At 40.6% G+C, this 25,689-nt stretch overlaps 3 long non-coding RNA genes across 6 annotated transcripts in view; 2 read left to right on the top strand and 1 right to left on the bottom strand.

The window, feature by feature from the left end:
- CIBAR1-DT (CIBAR1 divergent transcript) overlaps positions 1 to 2,294 on the top strand; it is a 353,967-nt gene extending 351,673 nt beyond the window's left edge. Inside the window, exon 11 of the long non-coding RNA NR_033858.1 lies at positions 1,855 to 2,294. This is a non-coding gene — a long non-coding RNA (CIBAR1 divergent transcript). The remainder of the gene's footprint in view (positions 1 to 1,854) is intronic.
- Positions 2,295 to 5,879: 3,585 nt separating this feature from the next.
- On the bottom strand, positions 5,880 to 20,625 carry LOC105375642 (uncharacterized). 2 transcript variants are annotated; one of them, XR_007061010.1, is made up of 6 exons: positions 19,893 to 20,625; positions 19,453 to 19,543; positions 18,662 to 18,813; positions 18,405 to 18,558; positions 17,857 to 18,078; positions 5,880 to 5,998 (listed from the first exon to the last, which is right to left on the bottom strand). It is a non-coding gene; the product is annotated as an uncharacterized LOC105375642 (long non-coding RNA). The 2 variants fall into 2 exon arrangements; XR_007061009.1 differs by lacking the exons at positions 18,405 to 18,558; positions 18,662 to 18,813.
- The window catches only part of LOC107986956 (uncharacterized), a 90,023-nt gene continuing 72,836 nt past the window's right edge, over positions 8,503 to 25,689 (top strand). For all 3 annotated transcript variants that reach the window (XR_001745996.1, XR_001745997.1, XR_007061008.1), the window contains exon 1: positions 8,503 to 8,585. This is a non-coding gene — a long non-coding RNA (uncharacterized LOC107986956). The remainder of the gene's footprint in view (positions 8,586 to 25,689) is intronic.

The following is a 25,689-nucleotide window of genomic DNA, read 5'->3' as shown; positions in this document are numbered from 1 at the left end:
AGAACAGGAAGGCCCTGATCTCATCTGTCATCTACGACAGGGCACCACCTGGTTTACCTAGGACCTCAGAAAAATCCTCCCATGGGAAAATTCTTGATGCTGGAATATATGTAATCAGAGGAAGACTCTTCCTTTTATTTATTTATTTTTATTATTATTTTTAAGATAGAGTCTCACTCTGTCACCCAGGCTGGAGTGCAGTGGTGTGATCTCAGCTCACTGCAACCTCCTCCTCCCAGGTTCAAGCAATTCTCCTGCCTCAGCCTCCCCAATAGCTGGGACTACAGGAATGTGCCACCACACCCAGCTAATTTTTGTATTTTTATTAGAGACAGAGTTTCACCATGTTGGCCAGGTTGATCTTGAACTCCTGACCTCAGGTGATCCACCTGCCTCAGCCTCCCAAAGTTCTGGGACTACAGGTGTGAGCCACCGCACCCTGCCGGACTCTTCCTTTTAAATCTACTTTCTAACTCCTCCCCAAGGGCTGTTCAAGCTCTGAAGGAAAACATGTCCCCTCCAGGTCTCTCTTGTTTATTATGTGAGGGGGGCCCTCCAGTGATGCTGCAAGAGTGAGCTGATGGATGGGTGATTTTATGCATTTCTTGTGCTGTTGGGTCTAAGAGGTAGTTGGTTCAAATCAAGGCTGACCAACCAGACAAAAGGAAAGAAAATATTTTGATATTTAAATGCTAGGAATGTAATAATTTCCTTGTGAAATTATTATATGACATATATAATGTATACTGTATAGATCTGGACTTGCTGGAGTTTAGAGAGGAGGTTCTCAGGCCGTGTACAGCTGGAGCAGCAAGTGTCTGCAGAGCTGTGTTGAGGGCACCTGCACCCACACCCACACCCAGCAGAGAGCTCTGCTTCAATCTGCTTAAATGTGGGTGATGTATAAAAGGATGCTGCAAAAGGATTCTGCTGGCCTGCAGAATCCAGTGTAAGGATTTAGATATTAAGTTCACATCCTCTTCATTTTTCAAGCCTAGTACGAGAGCTCATTATAAGAACTTGCTCAGTAAATGTTTGTTGACCAACTGCCTGAATATATCTCCACATTTTATAACGACAATAGAGTTGCTTTAAAGGCCATGGAATGACTTTTAATTTTGCAATAAAGTTGGAATGTGACTTGTTCCCTTTATGTTTCTTTGAAGAGGCACACATGAATCTCTGAAGTGATAGTTACTAAACATGTGGGTGGGCAAAGTTAGCAAATGACAATACTGCCTTTCTATGTATGAGGCCTCATTAATACTTCAACATTCATCTAAAGAGAGAAGGGTGTGTGTCCCATCAATTCCCTTGCCTCTCATTATGTTTGTGCTTGATTACTGCAGGTGTGCAAAAGCGTTTTCCGTGTGAAGCCACATGCCTCTGTCTAGGAGCTTGGGGTTTGGGAGTACATTTATCAAATGCATGCCAGCTCCTGCAAACTCCCTGAGAAAATTGTAGAACACCTGCATACTAATGGTTTTTATTGTTGGAATTATTTTATTGCACAATCAAAAACCTACAATTGTACCATAGAAACATACTACATGACTCCAAGTACAGAAACAGGCTGTGAACTTCACTGCTGACACTTTATTTCTTGTAATTAAACTTTTACTTTTATTTCACCTATTTTATCCCATAAACAGGGAAAGAAAATAAAACATATGGAGTAAACTACAGGATATTGTGGTTTATTCCATGTTTTGGTATTTTTAGCTGCTCCCAGTGAGCCTACAGTTCTGAAGTTTGTATCCGAAGTGTATTAAAAAATAAATTCATTAGCTAAGGAATATTAACAAGTTGGCTATATATTTAGGTAGGAATCTTCTTTATTTTCTTGTTTTGCAGAAAGCAACAGCCCACAATTGCCTGCATTTTCTTTCCTCTTCAAAACCACTTCTGCTCCAAAGACCATGAACCTGAACTGAAGAAACGACTCCTTCCTGCTGGTGTGAGATAATTCAGTCTCCATGATGTCTTAATCCTGGGCCTCCCTTAATTGACTTCTAACTGTGCTGAACTGTGGCTGCTAGGAGTTGCAATGTGGATCGCAATTTACAAGGCACTGGAATCGTTTCTTGTCTTCAAATTAGTCCTGAGCTGTACTGGAGAAAGAAAAAAAAGGGGCCTTTACCCTTCTTGCTGTCTTGTCACCACAAGTGAGACTTTCTTACAGTCTCAGAATGGATGGTTGCCTTTTAACAATTTAGTTAGGGACAGAAAGGAAAAAGAGTTAGGGTTGCCAATACTTCGTCAATTTTGTCTTAATAAAGTTGCCTCACATGGCCTATCTTGTTCCGGGGAATGAAGAACTCCTAATGGTTTTAGGCTTTCATGAAGGGGTAGTCATTATTTTGAAACCCTGTTTTGTGGGAAACAAAACAAGATAGAACAAGGGTCACTGCTTTTTCTTTCTCCATGGATATATATAGGATATATTTATTAATTAAGAAGTTTCTAGTTCTAAGCAGCAGGAAAAAAAGGAGTTATTTCTTTTATGGCCTTTTATAGCTACTTAACATCTATTTCTACTTCTCCTCCCTGATTTCTTCCTTTCCATCTTGGAGCCCTCAGTTAGAAAGCCACGGTATACACACACACATTCCCACCAGTTGGTATAGGCACTCTGTTAGACCTTGGGGGTAAATGTTGTGTCCAGAGTTGGTTCCTTCCAGTGGGTTCGTGGTCTCACTGACTTCAAGAATGAAGCTGCAGACCTTTGCAGTGAGTGTTACAGCTCTTAAATGTGGCACGGACCCAAAGAGTGAGCAGCAGCAAGGTTTATTGTGAAGAGCGAAAGAACAAAGCTTCCACAGTGGGGAAGGGGACCCGAGCGGGTTGCCGCTGCTGGCTGGGGTGGCCACCCGAATTTCTTCCTTTCCATCTTGGAGCCCTAAGTTAGAAAGCCATGGTACACACACACGTTCCCACCAGTTGGTATAGGCACTCTGTTAGACCCTGGGGGTAAATGTGATATGGTTAGCATCCTCAGAGGGAAGATACACATGTAAATGATGATAACACAACTTAGGAAGGTATATACGGGAGATGTTTATGGGAGCATAGAGGAGGGACACCTATCAGAGGCTAGGGTAGAAAAGGGTGGAGGAGGTAGAAACCCAATGGACTCTTTAAGAATGATTCTGAATCAGCCAGAAGAAGAACGTGAAAATGGGATTTCTAGGCAGAAGGAATAGATGAGAAATGTTTAGAATCACATCCTGTTCTATGTCAGAGAAACTCAGAGAGTGAGGTGGAGGAGTTGGGGAAGGGCATCAGGTCAGAGCAGGTAAGCAGGGGTCAGCTATGAGTGGCCTTCCATGCCATGCCAGTGAGCTTGGACTTCAGCAAGTAGATGATGGGGAGACCCTTAAGCAGAGAAGGGAACTGATTAGATTTGTGCTTTATATATATCCTTCTGGCAGTTGTGTGCAGGATGGATTTGAGCAGAGGAAGACTAAAGCTAGAGGTTAGAGTGGAGGCTGGTGCAGTTGTCTAGGACGGAATTTGGAATAACAGAAGTGGAAGCAAGATACAGAGGAGCTAGGGTTGAGAAATAACTAATAAGTTACATTGGCGAGACTTAGGTGGATGAAGTGTATAGAAGGTGACTTAGAGGCTTATTAAGCCTACAGAATTGCCACAGCAGATAATCTGGCTTCAAAGAGAATGGATTCTCTATTCAAGACCTGAAGATCCTTGATCATGCAAGGCAGATCGAATGCCTATCATGGTGGTAAGGCTGGTATTTTAGTGAACCAGGGATTATGGGTGGGCATTTGGGTATGAAGCCAGTTCTTATAAGAATTCCATGAAGTCTGGTCCTTCTCATTCTTTGAACCCTTAAGACATTTGTGGGGTAACTCTTCTAGACAACTGAGGATGAAGAGGACTGGGATGGTTGGGGGCTTTTTTTTTTTTTTGGATGGAGTTTCGCTCTTGTTGCCCAGGCTGCAGTGCAATGGCAGAGTCTCAGCTCCCTGCAACCTCCACCTCCCGGGTTCAAGTGATCCTCCTGCCTCAGTCTCCCAAGTAGCTGGGATTACAGGCACCTGCCACCACACCTGGCCAATTTTTGTATTTTTAGTAGAGAGGAGGTTTCACCATGTTGGGCAGGCTGGTCTCAAACTCCTGACCTCAGGTGATCCGCCCGCCTCGGCCTCCCAAAGTGCTGGGATTACAGTCCTGAGCCACGGTGCCCAGCTGGGGCCGTTACTTAGCCATGAAGTCTAGGATTTCCATTTCTAAGTGTTCCCTAATTGAGAGCCAGTTTTATGTCGGGGGAAAGCCATTTGGCTCCAGAATGATTCCTCAGAACTTCCGGGAGAAAGCCAGTACCCTGGGCTGTGTATGTGAGGTCTTTGGCCAGTCTGTCCTCATGTTCTTCCCTCTTGTCTCATACCACTCCACACATGCGCCCTTTCTCCATGCCACACCATGGAATAATTTATGGACTTTTGCAAATGTTATTCGTCTGAAGTTTTCTCCCATGGTTTTTCATCAAAATACCTTTTATGGCCGGGCACAGTGGCTCATGCCTGTAATCCCAGCACTTTGGGAGGCTGAGGCTGGTGGATCATTTGAGGTCAGGAATTCAAGACCAGCCTGGCTAACATGGTGAAACCCCATCTCCACTAAAAATGCAAAAATTAATCAGGTGGTAGTGGCGTGCGTCTGTAATCCCAAGTACTTGGGAGGCTGAGGCGGGAGAATCACTTGAGCCTGGGAGGCAGAGGTTGTGGTAAGCCAAGATCCTGCCACTGCACTCCAGTCTGGGCGACAGAGTGAGACCCTGTCTCAAAAACAAAACAAAACAAACACCTTTTATGCACCTTTAAAAAGCATCTTGTTCTTTGTAAACATTTCACAAGTCCCAGGTCTGATTTATTTCAGACCCTGCTGAGCCTGTCCATACCCTACTCGTGCACTTACCACACTACTGTGCTTTCTGTAGTTTTCCTGTCAGTCCTGTTAGATGGCAAGGCCTTTAAGGGAAAGAAATGCACTAGAGCATTTGTGTATATGCATGCATCCCCAGTGGCTAGCACAGTGCTTAGCCAACAACTTTGAATGAATGTTGGCAGATACATCTCTTGTCCTATAGCAGGCTCAGAATTGTGAGAATTTATAAATCATGAGTATAATTTAAAACACTCAGCAATAAAAATTTCCTAGAAAAAAATAAAATATGTGACAATACTTTAAAAAATGTAGAGAATTGAATGAAGTACATTATTATATTATACAATGTAAGTATGATAATATTATATTACTATTGTAATGGATGCTGTGTTCATCCACATGTTTATTTAGCTAATACCTATTTGGTGAAAACTGAGCAAAGCACAGATAGAACAGGTAGGGCGTGTTTAGGAGACTTACCTGATTGAGTTCAGATATTGGAAGACTGGAAGTTCAGATACAATGTTGAGTGGTTTACTGACCTCTGTATGTTGTGGAGTGGCTAGCTGTGATTCTGGTGTTTAGTAGGAGACCTGAGCTCTAATTAGCTGATTGGCCTTGAATAAAATGACTTTCTGAGCTTCGGTAGCTTCTTCTGTAAAGCCTGGATAATGTTAAAAACCTCCAGTATTGCAGAGTTATTGTGCTATTCAGTAAAAGACAGGAGCTAATGTGGGTATAGCTGTGCCTGGCACCAGGGTTGGCTGCATGGGTGTGTGACCCGCGCAGCTGCACAGGACCTTGCCTTTCCTCTAATGCTCTGCTCTCGCCATCCTAGAATTCTTCATAATTATTGAACAAGGTACCTCACATTTTCATTTCACTCTGGGCCCCTTGAATTTTGTAGCCAGTTCTGCCTGACACATAGTAGGCACATAATAGTGCTCTCAAGAGAGCCCTGAATTCTCACCCTGACATTAGAAGGGAACCCGAGGAGCTACTTCCAATGAGTGCTGCTCTCTGATGATGTCTTCATTTTGCTTTTCTGCAGAAGATGAGTGGTGCCTCCTTCTATTCCCACACCTGCTTCCTGTGGAGTACATAGATTTTCAATTCTGCCATCCACTTTATCTCATTTATTTAGAAATGCCATACTGTGATCATTCTTTTATCTTAACTACTATTTTTATCCCCCACCTGCCCCCTCTCCCTACCAAGATAAACACATTGGCCACCAGCTGTACATAAAATCAAAACGCAAATTCCTTTTTGATTCCACCAAGGTTTGAGTTGCAGCTTTTTTGTGGTGTTAAAATACTTTTCAAAAATGTAAATTTTTTTTTAAAAAAGAAAACTAAGTTACTGAGATAATTTGATTTTGGCTCCTACCATGTAACTTTAAGATTTTAGTATCTTTGTTGGTCCTAAATTGACTATGAGTTTTGCTCTGATGAAAATTACTTGTGCCAGAAAGCTCCAGTGGGTTGAAACATTCTGCCACAGTAATCCCTATGGATTAGAGCATATTGAAGCACAACCATGGGAAATAGAATGCTTCTTTTAAACCACTGAGCCAACAAATAAGGTCATTTGATGCTGAGAGACTGTGATCATCCATGAAGGGGCTAGTTCACCAGAAACATTAAGCTGGTTTGGGTGGGCTCATCTGTTGGTTGGTGGTGAGAACACTGGGGTTTCTTTTTCCATCAATCCCCCTTTGCTTTTTTATCCCTCAAAGTTACAAGATATAAGATCACAAACTTACAAAATAACAAAACAAGGTGGTTGTATCCACACCTGAGCTAAAGCTAAGTCAACTTTTTGTACAGTCTGTTGCCTTTCAGCTTTCTGTATAAATGACTTAACATGGCAATGTATTAGGCATTCTAAATGGCGAAAATTCCAGGTGTTATTTCTCAGTAACAATTCAGAGATATTTACTTTATATTCCTCCAAATAGTCTGAGAGGGAAAACTGAATGGAAAGAAAACTGGAAAAACAAAACAAGTTGGAATCATGCCTGGCTTGTTTACTTTAGGAAATCTCTTAACACTCATTTTAATCAATTGAAAAGAGATGGTTCATCAGATCATAGAATTTTAGAGCCGAAAGGAACCTTAGAGATTACCTCATCTGATTCTCTCATTTTATGGATGAGGAAACTGGGATGCAGCGAGGGGGAAAGGCCTTCCTAGTGTTCCATGGCTAATTAGCAGCTGGGCAGACAACCCAGGTCTCCTAATGCCCAGCCTGGAGGACTGCCTGATTTTTATACCCATTTAAAGACAATATATTTCCAAATCAAAAAGGCTTACAAAAGTAACTTAGTGAGCACAGGAAGAATATATTTTTCAATTGAATCAGAGCTTTCAAGTTTGTTTCAGAATACTGCCTGTATCGGATATTAAACTATTTTGCATATAGTAGCTACTCAAAAAATGTTGTCAATTGATAAATCTATTCAGAAAATCTTAGTTTATAAGAATAAGGGGAACGAAACCACTACAGAAATAAGTCTAACATCACATAAGGAAAAAAATGCTTATATTTAATATTAAATAAAATAGGTCCCCAAAGAAAATAAAATCCCAAGGCAAGTTCATGTGTCATTTTCAAAAATAAAAAGAAACCTAAATGGTGGGGTATTTGCAGACTCTCTAGGTCGCATATCAAAAAGGTGGACCATACAATGTATTGCCCAAACTGGGACATTTTTGAGAGTGAAAATGGGCATTATAAATATTTTTGTTAAGGTGACAAGTATAAACTGGGACTGTCCAGGGCAACTAGGACATATGGATCATCTTACATATGAAAACAAATAAAAAGTTTGCATTGATTATCTACCCTGTACTAGGGAAGGTCTTAGGGACTTCTATACTTTACTGCTTCTTTTTTATTACTTTTTATTTTAAGTTTCAGGGTACATGTGCAGGATGCGCAGGTTTGTTACATAGGTAAATGTGTGCCACGGTGGTTTGCTGCACCTGTCAACCCATCACCTAGGTATTAAGCCCAGCATGCATCTTTTAGTGGTGGGGCAAGTAAAGTATTTAATAGCATTTTATGATAAGAGGTTCAATATTATATTAAGAGGTAAAGATGTGGGGTCTCATAATTTTCATGTCCTACAATGAACGATCCAGACATCTTTTCTGTTTACCTACATAGAAAACAATAAAGGCTTTTTGTATGTCTCTCCTGCACTCTTCATTCCCTGCCCTGCTGCAATTTCTTATGTAAGTCCCTCTTTCTAAACTTCTATGAGTGGCAAAATTTAAATAGGATTATTCGGTATTGAATATTTCTCTGAAAACAGTGAGGAAGGTTTCTTTGTCTTGACAAGATAGGTTGCTGCTGAATTTGCTTTTCTCACTTTTAGTTGGTCTTATAATGGGGTTGTTGAAAGCAATGAACAGTTTATAAAAATACCCTTGGTGCTGTGAAATAGGGACCATTTCCAAAGTTTGTTCAAAATCTGATTACATTAGCAATTTCTCAAATCCATTGTACTAGCTTTGTAATTTGCTTCCATGACCCACGGAGTCTATTGACTCAGCCAGTGAATTTCGTTTTTATTGTTTTTTTCTTAAAGGAAGAGAAAAAGACCGGTCTCTGTTTGGAAATTACAAACATAGAAGAACTTAGAAACAATGGGTTTCTAGATTGGGTGGAAGGTAAGCTCTAAATCTACTGATTTGCTTGTCTTTGTTTGCTCTGCCTCTGTGGGTAGTTGGGACTATCCCTAAATAAATCTTTGGGGTTTTCCACCATGCTTTGAGTAACACTCACAAGCTGTGCTCTGAGTTTTTTTTTTTTTTTTCTTTTTAATAGGTGATATGGTTTGGCTGTGTCCCCACCCAAATTTCATGTTGAATTTTAATACCTATAATCCCCATGTGTCATGGGAGGGACCCAGTGGGAGGTAACTGAATCATGGGGGCAGTTTCCCCCATGCTGTTCTCGTGATAGTGAGTTCTCATGAAATCTGATGGTTTTATAAGTGTCTGGCATTTCCCCTGCTGCCACTCATTCTTTCTGCTGCCACCCTTGGAAGAGGTGCCTTCCGCCATGATTGTAAGTTTCCTGAGGCCTCCCCAGCCATGTGGAACTGTGAGTCAATTAAACCTCTTTTCCTTATAAATTACCTAGCCTCGAATATTTCTTCATAGCAGCATGAGAAGGGACTAATACGGTAGGGAAGGAGAAATCTAGACATTGGAAAATAGCTAATAGGTTTACTGAACCTAGAACATGTGCCCAAACTTTAGTACCCACTGTTTTCCTCATAGTTTCTCACTTCATCTTTACAACAATCCTCTGAAAATGTAAACCATTATTCAACCCAGTTTGCAGGTGATGAAGCTGAGGCTTAGAAAGGCAGCCTGGCCAGGCACCGGGGGAGCTGTAATTTGCAGGTAGCTTTGTCTGGCCCCAGGGCTGTACACTTAGAGTCTAATTAATCACTCTGCTAGGCTCTGTTTGAAGAATTTCTTGGCTTTATCTCAATTTTGAAAGAATTTTCTCCATGGAAAGCCAACCATCCAATTATCAGAGCCAGAACACTGCCTGTTACTATGGGTTGAATTGTGTCTCCTCAAAAAGGTATGTTGAAGTCCTAACCCCCAGTACTTCAGAATGAGACCTTGTTTGGAAATAGGGTCTTGACAGGGCTAGGCAAGTTAAAACTAGGTCATCAGTGTGGGTACTAATCTAACTCGGTGTCCTTAGTAAAAGCAGAAATTTGGACACAGAGGAATCACAATGTGAAGAAACACAGGAAGAAGATGGCCATTTACAAGCCAGGGCTCCTAGAAGGGACAGAGGCCTGGAACAGACCCTCCCCCAAAACCTTCAGAGGGAGCATGGCCCTTCTGGCCTCTAGAATGGTGAGAGGAGAAACATCTGTTGCTGAAGCCACCCTGTTTGTAGTACTTTGTTATAGCAACCCTAGCAAACAAATACACATGCTTGCCCACATTTCAGTGGGTGTGGACTTGCTAATGAGTGGCCAGCTGTTTCATCTACTCCTTTCTCTGACTGTGGTTGGTGCAAGGAGCAGGAGCCAGGTCCAGGCTGGAAGGACCTGAGGTGGAGAACAAGCCAGTTGCACCCATATCCAGGCTCTAGACTGAAGTGAAGCCCTCATAGCTCCACCCTGAACCTTGGAGAGAGGGAGGGCAGGTGGCCTATATATTGTCTCTGATCTGCCCTCTCAGACACAGGTAGCAGTGGTTCCAAGAAGAGTCCTTCTCCTCCCTCTCCAACCCCCAGTGGTTTCTAATAGTCCCTTCAGTGACATTAATTGATGGGAGAATGATCTGTCACAGCTGTTGAATAATACACATGCTGATGATTTCTTAATAACTTAAAAGCCCTTGTGATGGAGTGAGGAGAAGGAAGAAAAACATGTCTCACCTCTTGCAAAGGGGGAAACAAAAGCCTTTATTCAAATTTTTCACAGAAAGAACCCCAGAACTGCCAGGTGGGACCTAACACCAACTTCTAGCAGAAGGAACCTGGGTTTATTGAACTCACCAGCAACTCTAAGCACAACCAGAAACAGAACACTACTATTAGCTAGAAATAATAAAATGCTCAATAAACCCCAAATTATGAAGGCCCAGCCAGGAAACTCTCAGACATTCATGTTTACAGCACACCTGGCAAGTAGCTTTACAGTAAAGTATAAAATCTGCCCTTTTAAATAGCACAGAATTGGTGGCACAGCATATTTACACTCTTTAAGATGTAAACCAGAATTTGCAAAGTTTAAAAATGCCTTATAAGTATTTGCTACAATATAAAACTTGGAATAAAATGAGTGGTTTGACAAGCTGTAGAGGTCAAAACAAACAGCTTTTCTTGTCCAAAGAAGAGAAAGCTGCAGGGTAACTAAGTATTGTTGTTATGGAATTGCTTTGGCCCAGGGGGAAAAAGCCTGTAAAGACAATTTCATTCCGTCTTCTCTTTGATTTCTAGTTTAGAGTTGAGAAGAAACTTCCAAAGAAGAAAACTGGTTAAATAGGGTGTTAGAATAGTGATGACCCATGTAAGGCCAGCATTTCATCCCATCAACATGGAGGAGCCAGGTGGGGCTGCCTCTGGGGCCTGTGTTCTTTCGGTATGCAATTCTGCTGTCAAGTTGTCATATTTTGTGGTCTTTCCCTGATTCTGGGCTTTTCCATATCCCTGTCAAACCACTCCGCATCTCATCCTTGGACACTCTCTTCCCAGCCCCACTCCAGTTCCTTCAGGGTGTTTTCATTCTTTAAAAAGAAAAACCCTTTGTTTTTTTTAAGAGATTCTTTGGAGGGTCTTGCTCTGTTGTCCACAATGATAACTCAATCATAGCTCACTGCAGCCCTGAACTCCTCAGCGGAAGCAATCCTCCTGCCTCTCAGCCTCCTGGGTAGCTGGCACTACAGGCTCGCACCACTACATCCAGCTAATTTGTACGTATGTATGTATGTATGTATGTATGTATGTATGTATGTATGTGTGTATGTATGTATGTATGTATGTAGAGATGGGGTTTTGCTTTGTTGCCCAAGCTGGTCTCAAACTCCCTCCAGGGAATTTTTTGATATCATCACTAGCCTCAGCAGCATGCTGGGCACTCATTCCTTCCCCACATTCTTCTGTCTTATCTCTGTGGAGAAGTAGGAGTAAAGGAAGCCCCTGTGGGAGTAAAGGAAGCAGGAGGGGGCAAAGAGAACTGATCCTGCTGCAGCAAGGCCTCCACTGGCCCCATGGGAAACTCTTCAGAGTTGTCCCCAGTGGAGACCAGGGGCTGGGTCTTGGTAACCCACCATCAAACAGTGCTAGGGGTGGGCTGCCCTAGGGAGGAGGATGATTTTAGGCAAGTCACCTCTGTTTGGCTGACGGCAGTTCTCTCCTGGGGAGGGACTCAGTTGGGAGCCCTTAGCTGCAAACGTGCCAGTGTCTTGCAGCTGGGGGAATGGGCATTGAGTCTCACAAGGGTGGATCTGGGTGGGTATTACTCTATTGAATACACCTTCACTGTAAAAGTCAAATTTGAGGCAAACAGTATCTTATAGAGAAGGAAGCAAGTAAAGTTAAGGAAAACCTTAAATCTAATTTTTCACTTCTACTGAAATATAACAGTGAAACACATTAAGTCAATGCTGTTTTACATATTGTTATTCAGTAGTAATGTTCTAATAATTAGGTTACTTATTGTTTATCTCCTTCAGGATCTGTCTCCCCAGTTTTAATATGATAAATGTGTTTTTCTTTGTTACAAATAATATAACTACCACTAATTGAGCACAGGCTATATTCCAGATATATTTTATTAAATCTTCATAAGATTCTGTAAGAAAGATAACTTTGTCCCCACTTTATGGATGACAAAAACAAAAATGACTTGTCCAATTCACACATAAATGGCAGAACTGGGATCTAAACCCAGCTGACCCTGGAAACTACTCTAAAATCTATCATGTTGCATTTTATCCTAATAAACGTCTTGTTTTCCTTTTTTCCTCTTTCCAAATATCCAATGCCTCTCTGTTTTGTTTTCACTCCAAGTTATGAAAGTCCATTCCTGAAATATGACTGTAGTCCCAGAAATAAAGACATGGAGTAGACTGAGAGCCTGTACGTAACCTCCTTGGAGTAACTAGGTGGGTGGTCCGCAGAGAGCCCTCCAGGTTCCCAGGCTGGAATGTGGCCTGGGTTTCCTGATGGTGTCCCACCTGACCGCTCCTTCATCCATTAACGCAGGACTGTCTTGTTGGCCTTTCCTTGGTTCTCTGAATCACTCAAGATTTCACTGAAACAACCTCAATCCATACTCCACTATTCTGTTCACTACCCAACCCTCAGTTCTTTTCTTCTATTTGTTAATAGGAATGATTACTGATGACTAAAAATTCAGATCTAAAATCCTCATGACAACAAAAAGAATAAATGTATATGTTCCCCCACCTTAAAACTTCAGACACAGGGAAGTGTGAGTTAGGAATGACTGTTGTGTATATAATGACTTAAAGAGCCGTCTTAGTGTGTCTTTTTACCAGCATGTTGCCTGTCTAAAGCCGGATTTGATCAAGACTAGAAATTCCTAGAGTTTGATATTTCAAGTAAAGAAATTTCTTACTTAAGCATTTCAGAAATTTCAAATTTGAGTCAGTTCTCTCTCTCACTCCCCTGTACACACACACACACACACACATACACACACACACACACACACAAAATATAATTTTGTATTATATATCTGTTATATATAAATGTATCATTTGTAAAATTATAACAAAAGAAAGTTTCAAATTTAAATAGAACCATGACGAGTTGATAGGTGCATCAAACCACAGTGGCACACGTTTACTTATGTAACAAACCTGCACGTTCTGCACATGTATCCTGGAACTTAAAATAAAAAAAAAAAAATAGAACAAATTCTCTCTATAAATACACATTAACACACACATATAAAATATATAGCTATATTATATATCTATTATATCCATATTATATATAGATATGTGTACTTATAATTTATAAAATTATGACAAAAGAAGTCTTCTCTAGCTGGTTCTATCTCAACTTAAAATGTACCATGTGGGCTTTAGAGAAGAAGTCAGAATGAAGTGCTTTGCTGAGGCCCTTTTTTATACTAGAATGGTAGAATTATAATCTCTTTCTTTGAAATAAAAAAAGAAGAATAGATTTTCATCTGTCTTGGATAATTTAATATAACCTACTTGGAGGCAGAGGAGAATGGAGCAAATGATTCTTCCAGTCATTTCTTGCTCTATAATTATATTTTTAGAGGGAGAGAATAAAGATTCCTGCTGCTTCACACATTATTATACATTTTGAAGAGGATTCAGAGTTTAATATTTGTCATTCAGCCACTTTCCTAATTTTATGTGTAATTGGCCAAGAAATTGAAGTTTCAAAAACATTCTCAATGTGCTAAGTTCCCATATGTATTTCAATTCAACACACATTTATTACATTTGTTCTGGGGATTAGGGACTGAGGGAAGGAGGCCAAATGAGGAGGCACAGGCCTGTCTTTGCAGGGTTGGGCATCCATTGAGAAAGGAGGACTCCTTCACAATCTACTTGCATGAGCTGCTGAACTCCCAGCACAAATGTCATTTAACGGAAGCACAGAGGTAGGATCATTGAATTCTGTTGAAGTGTAGGAAGACCACCAGGGAAACTTTTACAAGGGGCTGACATTGGAACTGGGTTAAAGATGAGAAGAATTTACCTGGGGCACAGGAAGGAAGAAAAGGTTCTTTGAGCTACCCCTCCACTGGCCTGTTGCAATTTGCCTTCATCCATTGTGTCTACTCTAGGGTGTCTGACGGATCAGGCAGGAAAGGTCTGCAGCTCTGCCAGGGTTCTTTATTTCAGGATGGTCCATTGTTGCTCCCCATCTGCACTTCAGATTAGGTGAAGTGTTGCATCAGGCCAATGCTGCACTTTTAGTCAACCCAGGTGTTTTGTATGGGAGGCTTCTACTGCATCTCACCACCTCATCACCCCATAATCAGAATGCTCCTTCCCAGTAACCCCACCATTAGAGCAGATTCCTGACGTGAATGTTCCTCCTCTCAAGCCTGCCTTGTCTTTCTAATCTCTAAAAACAATTGCACTGTGTCTTTCAGCCCTGCTGTGCCCATAGAGATAAATCTCTCCTTCCACATTTGTATTATTTTGCAGGATATTGTTAAAAACATCTTTGCCTAAATAACATATAGTAAAGCCCAGGTGTATTTACTTTTCCCTTTCATGAGTTTGACTTTGACAGGCATCATATAGCTGCAAAGGATGCATGCTTTTTTGGGGTTTGTTGCAAACAGACACATGACCACAGAGCTATGCTCGAGGTCAGCACATGTCTCCACATGGAGGAAGTGAACTTAGACTTCAGTACAGTTCACTTTCTTTTGACTTCCTAGCCACCCTCAAACTCAGACTACCCTTCTTGCCATCAGCTAGTTGTTAACTAATCCCTCTAAACTAGTTGTTAACTAATCCTTATCCTCAAGGTACTCCACAGAAACACCATCTAATGGTGGAATCTCAGGCACTGTAACTGGTCTAAGTAGAAACATGTAGTGAAGGACTTGCCAGCCACATGTCAAAGACAGAAATGGCTATTGGGACTATTCTAAAAGGAGCCTTAGCTAAACTTTTATAAAGGCAGTGGCAACTGCCTTTTCTGTACCCACAAATTTTTACCAAAAATATTTGGACTTTTTAACTTCTAGGTACTAATGGTTGGTGGCTTCTTTGACACTGTGAATTAACCCTGCCTACCACCTTTCTTGGGTCTTCACATATAGAGGCACCAGCGACACCGCTTCTTATTCACAGGCGAGCTAGAAGCTCCTCAGCTTTTGAACTCCTCACCATTCTGCTTCTCCACTTCAGAGCGTCTGTGTCTGTGCGTGCCTAAGCATTTCTCCTGCTCCACTGCCTCCTCAGACCCGAAGTAAGCCCATTTCCTTGTGTTCTGGATTACACCCGCTTGCACTTCTCAGGAATCTTTCCATTGGTTTTTCTCTCTCTTTCTTTCCTATATCTTCTCCAAACCCTTCTCACCTGAGTGTCTGTAGTCCCTTCTTTGGAATTAAGGAGATACTGCCTTATCGCCTTTGTCTCCATCTTTGTCTTCAGTTGATTGAAGTTGACATTCTTTCTCTCCAATCTGGTGTGACTCTTCTTTCTAATGTCGCCAATGACCTTGTAGTGGTCGACCTCCGTGGACCCTCTCAGTCATCTTATTGATTTTCCCTGTAACGTTTAACACTGCTGATCTCTCCATTCCTCTTAAATTTTCCTTCCTCATTTTGTTTCTTCCTTGAGTTCCTTGTGCCTTTTCTTGGTCTTCTTTCTAGGTGTCTTTTCCTCCCTAAATACTGATATTTATGTAAATATTGATAACATAAATCTCTCATCAGCCACTTTCTCTTCTTTAGTTCTGGGGCTGTCTCCAAAACTCCAACAGTTTACAATCCCTTTTTATGCTGTTGACTCTGAGCTTGTATCTTCCACCTAGACTTCTCTTCCATGCTCTAGATATATGTACTCAAGTTTCTAATAGGCATCTATGCCAAGTCAATCCAGACATCTTAAACTTGCTCCATCCCAAAATATGTCTTTACCCTTCAACTCTCTTCACCTTACTTTCTCTCTTGTATTTCCTAACAGGTGCCTAATAATACTGTGTGCCCATAGTACTCCTGGACATATTCCCCTTCTTCTTCTTACACAGCCAATTGAATGACAAACTCATCAGTTGTACCAGCACAAGACACCTTTTGGCCATGCCTTCTTCTACTTCTTTACCACTACTATCTCCATTCTGGCGCCCATTACTTCTTATATAGACTGTTTTTCTGTTTCTATTCTCACCCCCCACCAGCCATACACCAAAACACCACTATCTGCCACCAGTTTGATCATGTCAGAATTCTTCAAGGACCCTCATTGCTTACAGCAGAGAGAACCACGGTCCATGAGCCAAATCTAGCCTACTGTCCAGTTTTATAAAAAAATCTTTAACGGAATACAGCTACTTTCATTCATTTATTTGTTGTTATGGCCACTTTAATGCAATGGCTGAGTTGAGTAGTTGTGAAAGAGATTATAGGGCCTGTAAAACCTAAAATATTTACTGCCTGGCCCTTTACAGAAAACATTTGTTGGCCCTTCGGTTGGAGTATTAGTCAAATCTTCGTAGCCTGGCACAAAAGGCCCATCAACACATCTGCTCTGTCTGCCTGTCCAGATTCATGTTCTTTGATGTTCTCTTTAATAGAAAGCAATATTGGATTTTTTTTTTTTTTTGGTACATGAAGCTGTGTAACATGGTGGTTAAAGTAGGATGTACAGCCAGGATACCTGGGCTGAATTCTGGTTCTGCTGCTAATCAGCTGTGTGATCCTGGGCAAGTTACTTAAAATTTTGTGGTTTAATTTCTCCATAAACTGGAACTGATGTGTTCCCTTTTACATTTTAGAGTAGCTGTGAGTGGTGAAAAAGGGTTGGGTGAGATTTCAGATGGTTCCAGTTCAAACTCTTTCTAATTTAGTCAACTGTTGAAACATATTTATTGTTTCAGAGCCTCATTTTATTTGTTTTTAATTTAGAGCTTATAAAATTGTCTTTTGGGTGATAGTTCATGGTGGTAGAGAGTACCAAGATATATTTTTGAGAGCAATGTTAAATATCAAAATATTCTCAGTGAAATAAACTTTCTTGTCTCAACTGACTTATCTGATACTTGGTAGGAACAAGCATCAACGTGACAATGCAAATCACAAAGGGATGAGAAAAGGAAAATAGAGGTATCTGTGAGGAGTGTTAACATTTATTTAAAAACAGAAAGAATATCTCTTTAAAAAAACAATTATTTCAAATGTATGCAAGTGCTATATAAACTGATAAGGACCAAATATAGATAAGGTGTTATATATAGACCTTTAGTGATCACCCATATCTGATTCTCTTCATCTAAGTTCATAGGAGAATGAGCTTTTTTTGTCCTTTTACAATTAGGTAGGGGTCATGTGACTTGTTTGGCCAACAAGCTGTGCCATTCATTACTTCCTGTATGAGGCATTGAATTACTAGTGAGAGACTAGCATTTTTTTCTCCTGCCAGATAGAACAAGGAGGGCACTTTTCCAGATGGTACCTCCAGGTGATGGTGGCACCACCGTTGGATTTCTGAGTCACCCTCTGGGTGACTGAGTCACTCTATGGGGGCAGTAGCTCTGGAGTCACCTGGACGCACAGTGGCTTTTGGGACTGCGAGAAAGAAATGTTGTTGGTTTAAATCACAGCGATTTGAGGCTTCTTTGTTATTGAGAATAACCTAGCCTATCTCAGATTATTATTTTATAAGAGAAGAGTGTTTTCTCCCACTCATGCTCATAGACAGATTTACATGGACATACCTGGAAGGGCAGAGCAGGCTTCCTCACATGGAGCCTCGCATGGGCAGTGAAGGGAGCCGGTCGATTGTTCTGTGCTGATGAGGCAGGGATGCCCCTTTGTGTTTGACTCCTGGTTGTTTTCCCTCTTTTAATTAGCAGTTTTTGTTATTGTACTTGTGAGACGAAGCTTTAGGAGCAAAGGCCACGGCTTTCATGATAAATGCCTCCTCAAACATTTCCAACCTAAAAATAAAGTAACATAAAACCTCACAAATGAATGTGGTAGCAAGCTGCAAATGTCAATTCTGCCATTGTATGGATTTAAAATCAAATGTAAACAATGTTTGAGAAAACATTGACCTGAATCCAGGCTTTTTTCACACTAGTAATTAGTTCTCCAGCAGCAGGCTCCAGCTGAAAGCTGGGTCAGTGCCCTCTCCCCTAGGAAGCCGAGAAAATTCTCACTGCGGCCAGACCACAAGACAGGGCCCCTGGGGATGTTGTCAGCTGCGGTTGCCACTTTGCACACTTGCGGTAAAGGGCAGGCTTCTTGGCAAATGCTCCCCTACCTGGGCTTGCAGGGAGTGGGCAGAAATTCTCTCTTCACTGTGGGCAGTAATTAGAGGGGAGGGGCTGGAGTCGGGTTCATAGAGGTGCAAGAAGGCATCGGCCAAAATTCTAGCAATCAGACAGCAGACTTCACCCATGGTGGGAATATTACAACTGAAAAGATATTTTAATTTTTTTTAAAAGCTTAATAGTCACACTTTTGTAGCCCTTATAAAAAATATTCTGAGATGCAATGCTGGCCATGAAGTCAAATTACCTGGGGATTTCATAATTTGATTTTCATTCTGAAGATTCTTCAATAACCAGAACTTCTGTTAACATATTCCTGATTCATAGAACAATGGATAAGTCTGAATGTCTTCAGAAATTTGAGATTAAATTCCTGGTTTCAGTTTCCCATGGTGAGCACTGTCACGTTAGGCCCAAGAAACAGACGTCAAATTGTGTATAAAAAGCACAAATCAGTTAATAAATAAGAACCCAAGTCTTTGGAGCTATTACTCAACTGTCTGCAGATTCTGACCTGTCCTTATGAACTTCCATGGCATTTAAAAGTTTATCTGAGGCCAAAAGTTTATCTGAGGCCGGGCGCCGTGGCTCACGCCTGTAATCCCAGCACTTTGGGAGGCTGAGGCGGGCGGATGACGAGGTCAGGAGATCGAGACCATCCTGGCTAACACGGTGAAACCCTGTCTCTACTAAAAATACAAAAAAATTAGCCGGGGTGGTGGCAGGCTTCTGTAGTCCCAGCTCCTCGGGAGGCTGAGGCAGGAGAATGGCATGAACCTGGGAGGCGGAGCTTGCAGTGAGCCAAGATTGCGCCACTGCACTCCAGCCTGGGAGACAGAGTGAGACTCCGTCTCAAAAATAAAAAAGTTTATCTGAGAGCCTTTGCTTTAAGACCATCAAGATTATTGTCTCTGTTTCTTACCCAAAGAACTCAGAGAAAATAAGACTCTACTTAATGAGGTGAAAAAAATCATTTGAAAATCAGATAAATTCCAAAGACTTCAGTATTAACAATTTATTATTACAGTATTCACTAACCTTAGGCAGGCTGATAGAAATTTTCTCTAAAGTGCTAAGCAGAAAGAATTTAATGATTTCAGTTTAATTCCCTGTTGCACTGAAGTCCATTCTGGAAAGAAAAAAATAAAAACCATCAGTGTACATTATACTAAAGGTCTGAGTCTTAGGAGCAACTCTTATCTTTAGCTGGGAAAACAAAGTATCCAAAAATGTGTCCTGAGTTTACTGAATTTCATCATGATTGAACAAGGTTAATCTTATCAATAGCTAGTTCCTGTGTTATGACAGTAAATTAAAGTACCATTCTTTGCCTTAACGAGAAAAAATGAATAAGAAGAATAAGAAATTTAAATGACTTTGCCAAATCAATTCTTTGGCTTGCTTTTCCACAGCTCCCATCGCTGAGGACTATCTGATATCCTTCAGATAGACAAGACAGAGAAGAAAATGGCTCTTACCTGTCTGCTGCCTTTTTCTTTCTTCTAATCCTTCTGGACTTTGCTCATCATTTTTTTCAGGTCATTACATCCCTTCGGGATTAATTTCTTTCATATCCCATTGGCTAGGCTGCCAAAACTCATTTCTTCATTACTGTTCTTTGCTTAAGGGTGGCAGTTGCTGAATCCTCCGCCACATCCCCTTTGATCTGCCTTGGATTTTATTTTTTTATAACATCTATTTCTTTCTTTCCTTTGTTTATCCCAGTGGCAGAAAAAGAGGATTAATTATTTCTATGAAGCCAGCACTTCTCTTTGTGTCAAAGTGCTGGCAAACAGAACACATTACCTTAAGAAAGTGCATTTCTCTGTAGGCTGTGATTTTGGGTTCTATGAATTAAATGTTAAATTTCCTGAGAGCAAGATCTCTGTTTACAAATTCTCTTGGAAGGGCCCATCTAACAGTGATAAGTGTCTGCAGGTCTAAGTCCAACTCCAAAATAAGCCTCAGTGCCTCCAAATTCATCCTAGAATAATCTTTCTGATACACAAATGAGATCATGTCACTACTCAGTCCCAAATATTTTCTGGGCTCTCTGCTATGAAACCCAAACTATTTAGAATAGCATTAAGACACTTTTTCCCCCTGCTTACTTCAACTCTTCCCATTCTCTACAGATCTAGTATCTTGCATTCTAGTTCTACTAAAATGTCTGGGATTCCCAGATTGGAAGCATCCTCTTCCATCTCTAAGCTTTTGAACCTGTTATTCTCTCCTGGGAATGCCTTTCCCTCCTTTGTCTATTTGGCAACCTCCTCACAGTTTTTAAGACAGCCTAGAATCAACCTCTCTGAAAACTTTTCCCATTTACCCAAGACCTACAGCTGCACTGTCTTCGTAGCCTTTATGTACAACTTCAGTGTTGAGCTTATCACATTCAATGTCAGTGTCTACCTACCTGGATCACCCAGTAGGTTTTGACCTGCTTAAGGGCAAGATTTCTGTCTAATTCATCTTTGGGATCTCCATGCCCTATTAAAGAACTTGGTATTTCATAGGGCTGAAAAATATTATGTGCTCAGATAGGTGAATGATGGATTGTAAAGTAACTCAATATTTCTCATTAGTTGCATGGCATAAATTATGAATTGGTGTAGTTTTATTTTTCTTTTTGGTAGGCAATAAGAGTATTCCCAAATGCAGGTACTTAATAGTTGTTACTGCTGTTATTCTAATTAATTAGGACTCATGCTTTGAACAATATGAATTGATTGTGTACATGGTCTAAATTTTTCAGGAATTTGTTGCTTCCTTTTTATAATTTTATGGAGCTTCTCATCTTTTTCCTTGATAAGCTACACTTCTGTTGGTTTTCTAGACAGCAAATACAATTTGGACTGTTCACTTTAAGAATGTCCTGAATCCTAAAGAAAAATTGCATTAATAGTCTGAATTTATCAAGGTAGTGTTGGATTAAAAATTGGGGTCATATTATATATACCACTGTTGTTTTTCAACATTTCTCTATATTTCATTATATTGTTTTGTTGTGAGCATTGTAGCATGTTATTAAACAATATAGGTAAATATAATTATTGACTACATAATACATCATTGTGTGATTGTACCCTTTCTTCATTGTTTTATTCCTTCAGTCACCATTTATTGAAGTTAAGTATTGTTTCATTAAGCTTGTACATGTATGTCTTTCTTTATATATTTATCTGTTTGTACTGTGTCATGATGTTGAATGTGTTTCTTATTATAGATCAGGATCAATAGGGTTTAAATGCCACTGACTTACTTATAGGGTAGTTCTGAGACTACCTATTCCCCCTAATATTTTTCTTACAAAGGCAAATTAGGTTATGATAAACCTCAAGGAAGGCAACTTGGAAAGATTTGGTAAGTCTAAGGCATGTGTGTAGAAGTTAAGCTAGTCCTACCACAGGATAATGAAATATATTATTCATAAATATAATATACTTGATTTCCTTGTATGACTTATGGAGACCGTACTCATTATTTTTAAACTTACTCTCTAGACTTACGTTAGGCCTCCTGACTATTCTGTTTCCCCGAGTCCCTGGTTCTCTGTCATTTACGACAACAGACTGAGGATACCCCAAAAGAGGGGCCCAAGGCAGTGGACTCCGTTCAACATGGTCAAGTGTTATTCCTACCTCTGGCCAGCCAGCCTCAACCCCCTGCTGTCATTCCTGCCATGTTCAATCCATTGTCAAAGCTGAGCCATGTCTCAGAAGTGGGTGGCTTCAGTTAAAGAAACCAGAATAGTAGTTGCTGCTTTTAAAAATTACATTCTATATTCCTGCACAGCAATATGATTATTGATATAGTAAATTAATATCTTCACAACTCTTGCATCTTGTTTTCCTACAATAACACCTAGCACACCCCACAAGCGCATGGCCTGGTAATTCCTCTTGTGTACATTTTCCACAATTCATCTTGGTGATTCACCATTTCTAATGTTAGTAATTTACAGTAATGAGCCATGAGCTGACACCCAGACTGGGTGAGACAGAGGCAACTTTCAATATACAGCAAGTGGAAAAGAGTACTTGAGGGATACATTCTCTGCATTCTGAAAGCATCTTAATGATCCTAAGTGGTTTGGATGTTTAGAGGAAGTTCACAGGCACTGAATCAATTGCACATTATTAAAAAAATACAATGCATAAGACTTGGGAGCTAAAGGAATGCTGTTTCTTGTTCCATAGTCTGAGAAGACCGAGAAGGTGGCAGGTTAGGAGAGTATTGGAGCAAAGCTTTTGTTCCCTAGAAGCATGGGATAAATGCATGTTTTGTTATGTGTTCATGGCTGGCTTCCATGTATGCCTGGGCAAAAATGAATGAATCCAGGCAAATTTGGGAATCATGGAACATCCCAATCTATTGTTTTTTTCAAATGTCTTGCATTTAGCAAAGCACCACACATCCTTAGCTGAACACTACTTCATATTAAATTGTTAAATTGATGTGTACATATCAGAAGATAGAATCCACATATTTCCAAAGCCTTTCACATTTTTTTTTCAGTAAGGGTAGTCAGATGCCTTTGGAACTGTGCCTTTTATAACAAATTATTTCTTTTGTGATAATGAGAATGAAAAATCTATAGTTATTAGAACACACACATTATCACCACGTAGATTGAAATACTCAGCTCAGAAGGTCAATTTCCTAATATAAGAACACAAGCCATCAATTTGATGAATTGCATTTTCCTTTTTCCTCAGAGTGGGCCCTTTAATTTGGCTTCATTATTAAATAAAACAGAGAATTCTAGTGTCGGGAAACTCCTGCCAGCTATTTTTAGATCCACATCTATATTTCTCTCCAGAACTGTGGAAGGCATCTAAGTATCTGTGTAGTGGAAAAAACATGGCCATTGGCTTCAGAGAACTCTAGGCTGAAATCCTGGCTTTGCCCCTGTGACTGGTTGAATGGCCTTAGGCAAGTCACTTCACCTCTTCAAGGCTTCGTTTGTTCATTGGTGGAAAGAGCACAATAATCCACCAGACTGTGTTCTTGTCAGAATTAAATATCTAGTATGTGCCAAGTGACTGACACAGGGCCCATAGGGAGCAGAGGCTCATGAAGTAGCAGTTAGCTCAGAGATGCTGATCTAATCACTCTCTCCAGTCGTGCAATCAATGCGATTGGTCTCTCTTTAGTTGCAGAGACCAACGTAGAAGGTGCTCTGCTTTCTCCACCTTGGGCACTTCTGTGTGTTCCCTGACTTGCAACCATTGCTTTGTTGGCTGGTCCAAGACTATTGCAGCTGTGCTGTTTAGATGTCAAACAGGCCTAATGCCAGTTCAAAGTCGAGAGTGTTGCTCTTGATGACCACACCACAGAGCTGTCTTCCCTGAAGCTCTTGATTAGAATTTCTTGCCTCTGCATTCTCTGGCTTGCTATGGCTTCCTCACTGCATCTCACACTCCCACCCTGTTGGCAATGGTCTCTCTTTCCCTGTGCTGAAGGCAGAGTAAGAGAAAACTGAGTCCTTTGTGTGAAATACATCTCCCCCTCTCTTTTTACATTGGTTCAGTGCCCACAAGTGTTACAAGGACCATGAAAGCCAGAAGTAACTATGTCTGTCTAGCCAGCAGACTGGAAGAGGACTAAATGTAGAAGTAGAAAACTGGCAAAAGCCACTGTTGCCTATTGGTGCCTCAGCCCTGTTATCACAAACCTGGTCTTGCTTCCCTTGTCCAAGAGACCAGATGTAGGGGAAAGGTCATTCCTATGATATGATACGATATGGTACCATACGATTATGATATGATATTTATTAGTCAATCTTCATCATTCACCGAGTCCATATCTGTGACTTCACCTCTTCACTAATATTTATTTGTAACTCCGAAATCAATATTGCTGGTGCTTTCACAGTCATTCAGGTACATGCAGAGCATGAAAAATTTGAGACTTGCTATGTACGAATTCCCAGGTGAGGTTTAAACAAGACGTTCCTCTGTTCTTGTGTCCTCTCATACAGAGGTCACCAGAGGATGCAGGCAGTAGAGGGGCAGGGCAGTGTAGGACAAGAAGCTCTGGCTCTGGGGCCAGTTGGATAGGGTCTGAATCCCAACCCTGGTGCCTGTTAGTGGGGTAGCTTCAGTCAAGTCTCAACTTTTCTGAGCCTCATTTTCTCACTTGTAAAATAAAGAAAATAGAATCTACCAATCTATTACCAATGTCTTACCTGTAGCAAAGCACTGCACATCTTTAGCTGAACACTACTTCATATTTAATTGTAAGTTGATGTATATGTATATCAGAAGATAGAATCCACGTTTCCAAAGCCTTTTACATTTTAAGTTATTTTTTAGGATTTAAGATGGTGATCAATCTACATATTTATATCATTCTGTGTATATATATATATATATACACACACAATATATGTATACATTTGTACACACATATAGTGTGTATATACATACACACACACACACACAAGTGCTCATCCTTAGGAACAACAGTTTCATATTTGCTAACTGAGTGTTTGCAGAGACTTTATGGAATACCATGAGTAATTAGAATGTACTATGTCTGTGTGTGTGTGCCACTTTTCTACTGTACTCTGCCTACTCTTCCATTGGAAGGTATATATATATCCATATCTACATATATGTCTATATATGTATATATCTTATATATCTTTCACTGGATATACACATCTTCCAGTGGAACAGTAGGCAGGGAGTAATAACTAGGCTTTGGCTTGAGTTCCATTTCTATCAGTAAGGTCCACTGATGTGTGAACTGAGACATTACTTTACTTCTGTGCCCCATAGTTCCCTAATATATAAAGTTGGGATCAAGGTGTCTGCCTTCCCAACAAGAGGTTGTTGTGGGTATAAAACGAGTTTAACAGACATGAACATCCTTAGTAACTTTTAAAGCACGCTAATAACAGAAGGCATTAGTATTGTCTGGCACATGTCCAGGCAGCAGGAGCAGTCAGGAAGCTATGATGGTCATTCTATGGGGGCTGTAGTCTACGCTGGATTGTTTGAATACAGTGTTCACTCCTTTATTGATTTATTTACTCAATCTTTTAGCAGACTTATGTATTGAAAGCTGATTCTGCCCAGCCCTATGTAGGATGCCAAGGATACAAATGAATAAGCAAGATCCATCTCTCAAGAAACTTACTGTAGAAGGAGACAAACATGCTATATGGATTCTAGGAAGGAGCGCCCTAGGCTTACATTCTTCCACCAGACTCAGCTTTTTCACATGGCCCTGGGTCTCTACCTGACAGTGGGGACTCTCTTTTATTCA

This window comes from Homo sapiens, chromosome 8 (genome assembly GCF_000001405.40).
Source record: "Homo sapiens chromosome 8, GRCh38.p14 Primary Assembly".
NCBI classification, from domain to species: Eukaryota; Metazoa; Chordata; class Mammalia; order Primates; family Hominidae; genus Homo; species Homo sapiens.
This window is presented reverse-complemented; position numbering and strand designations above follow the sequence as displayed.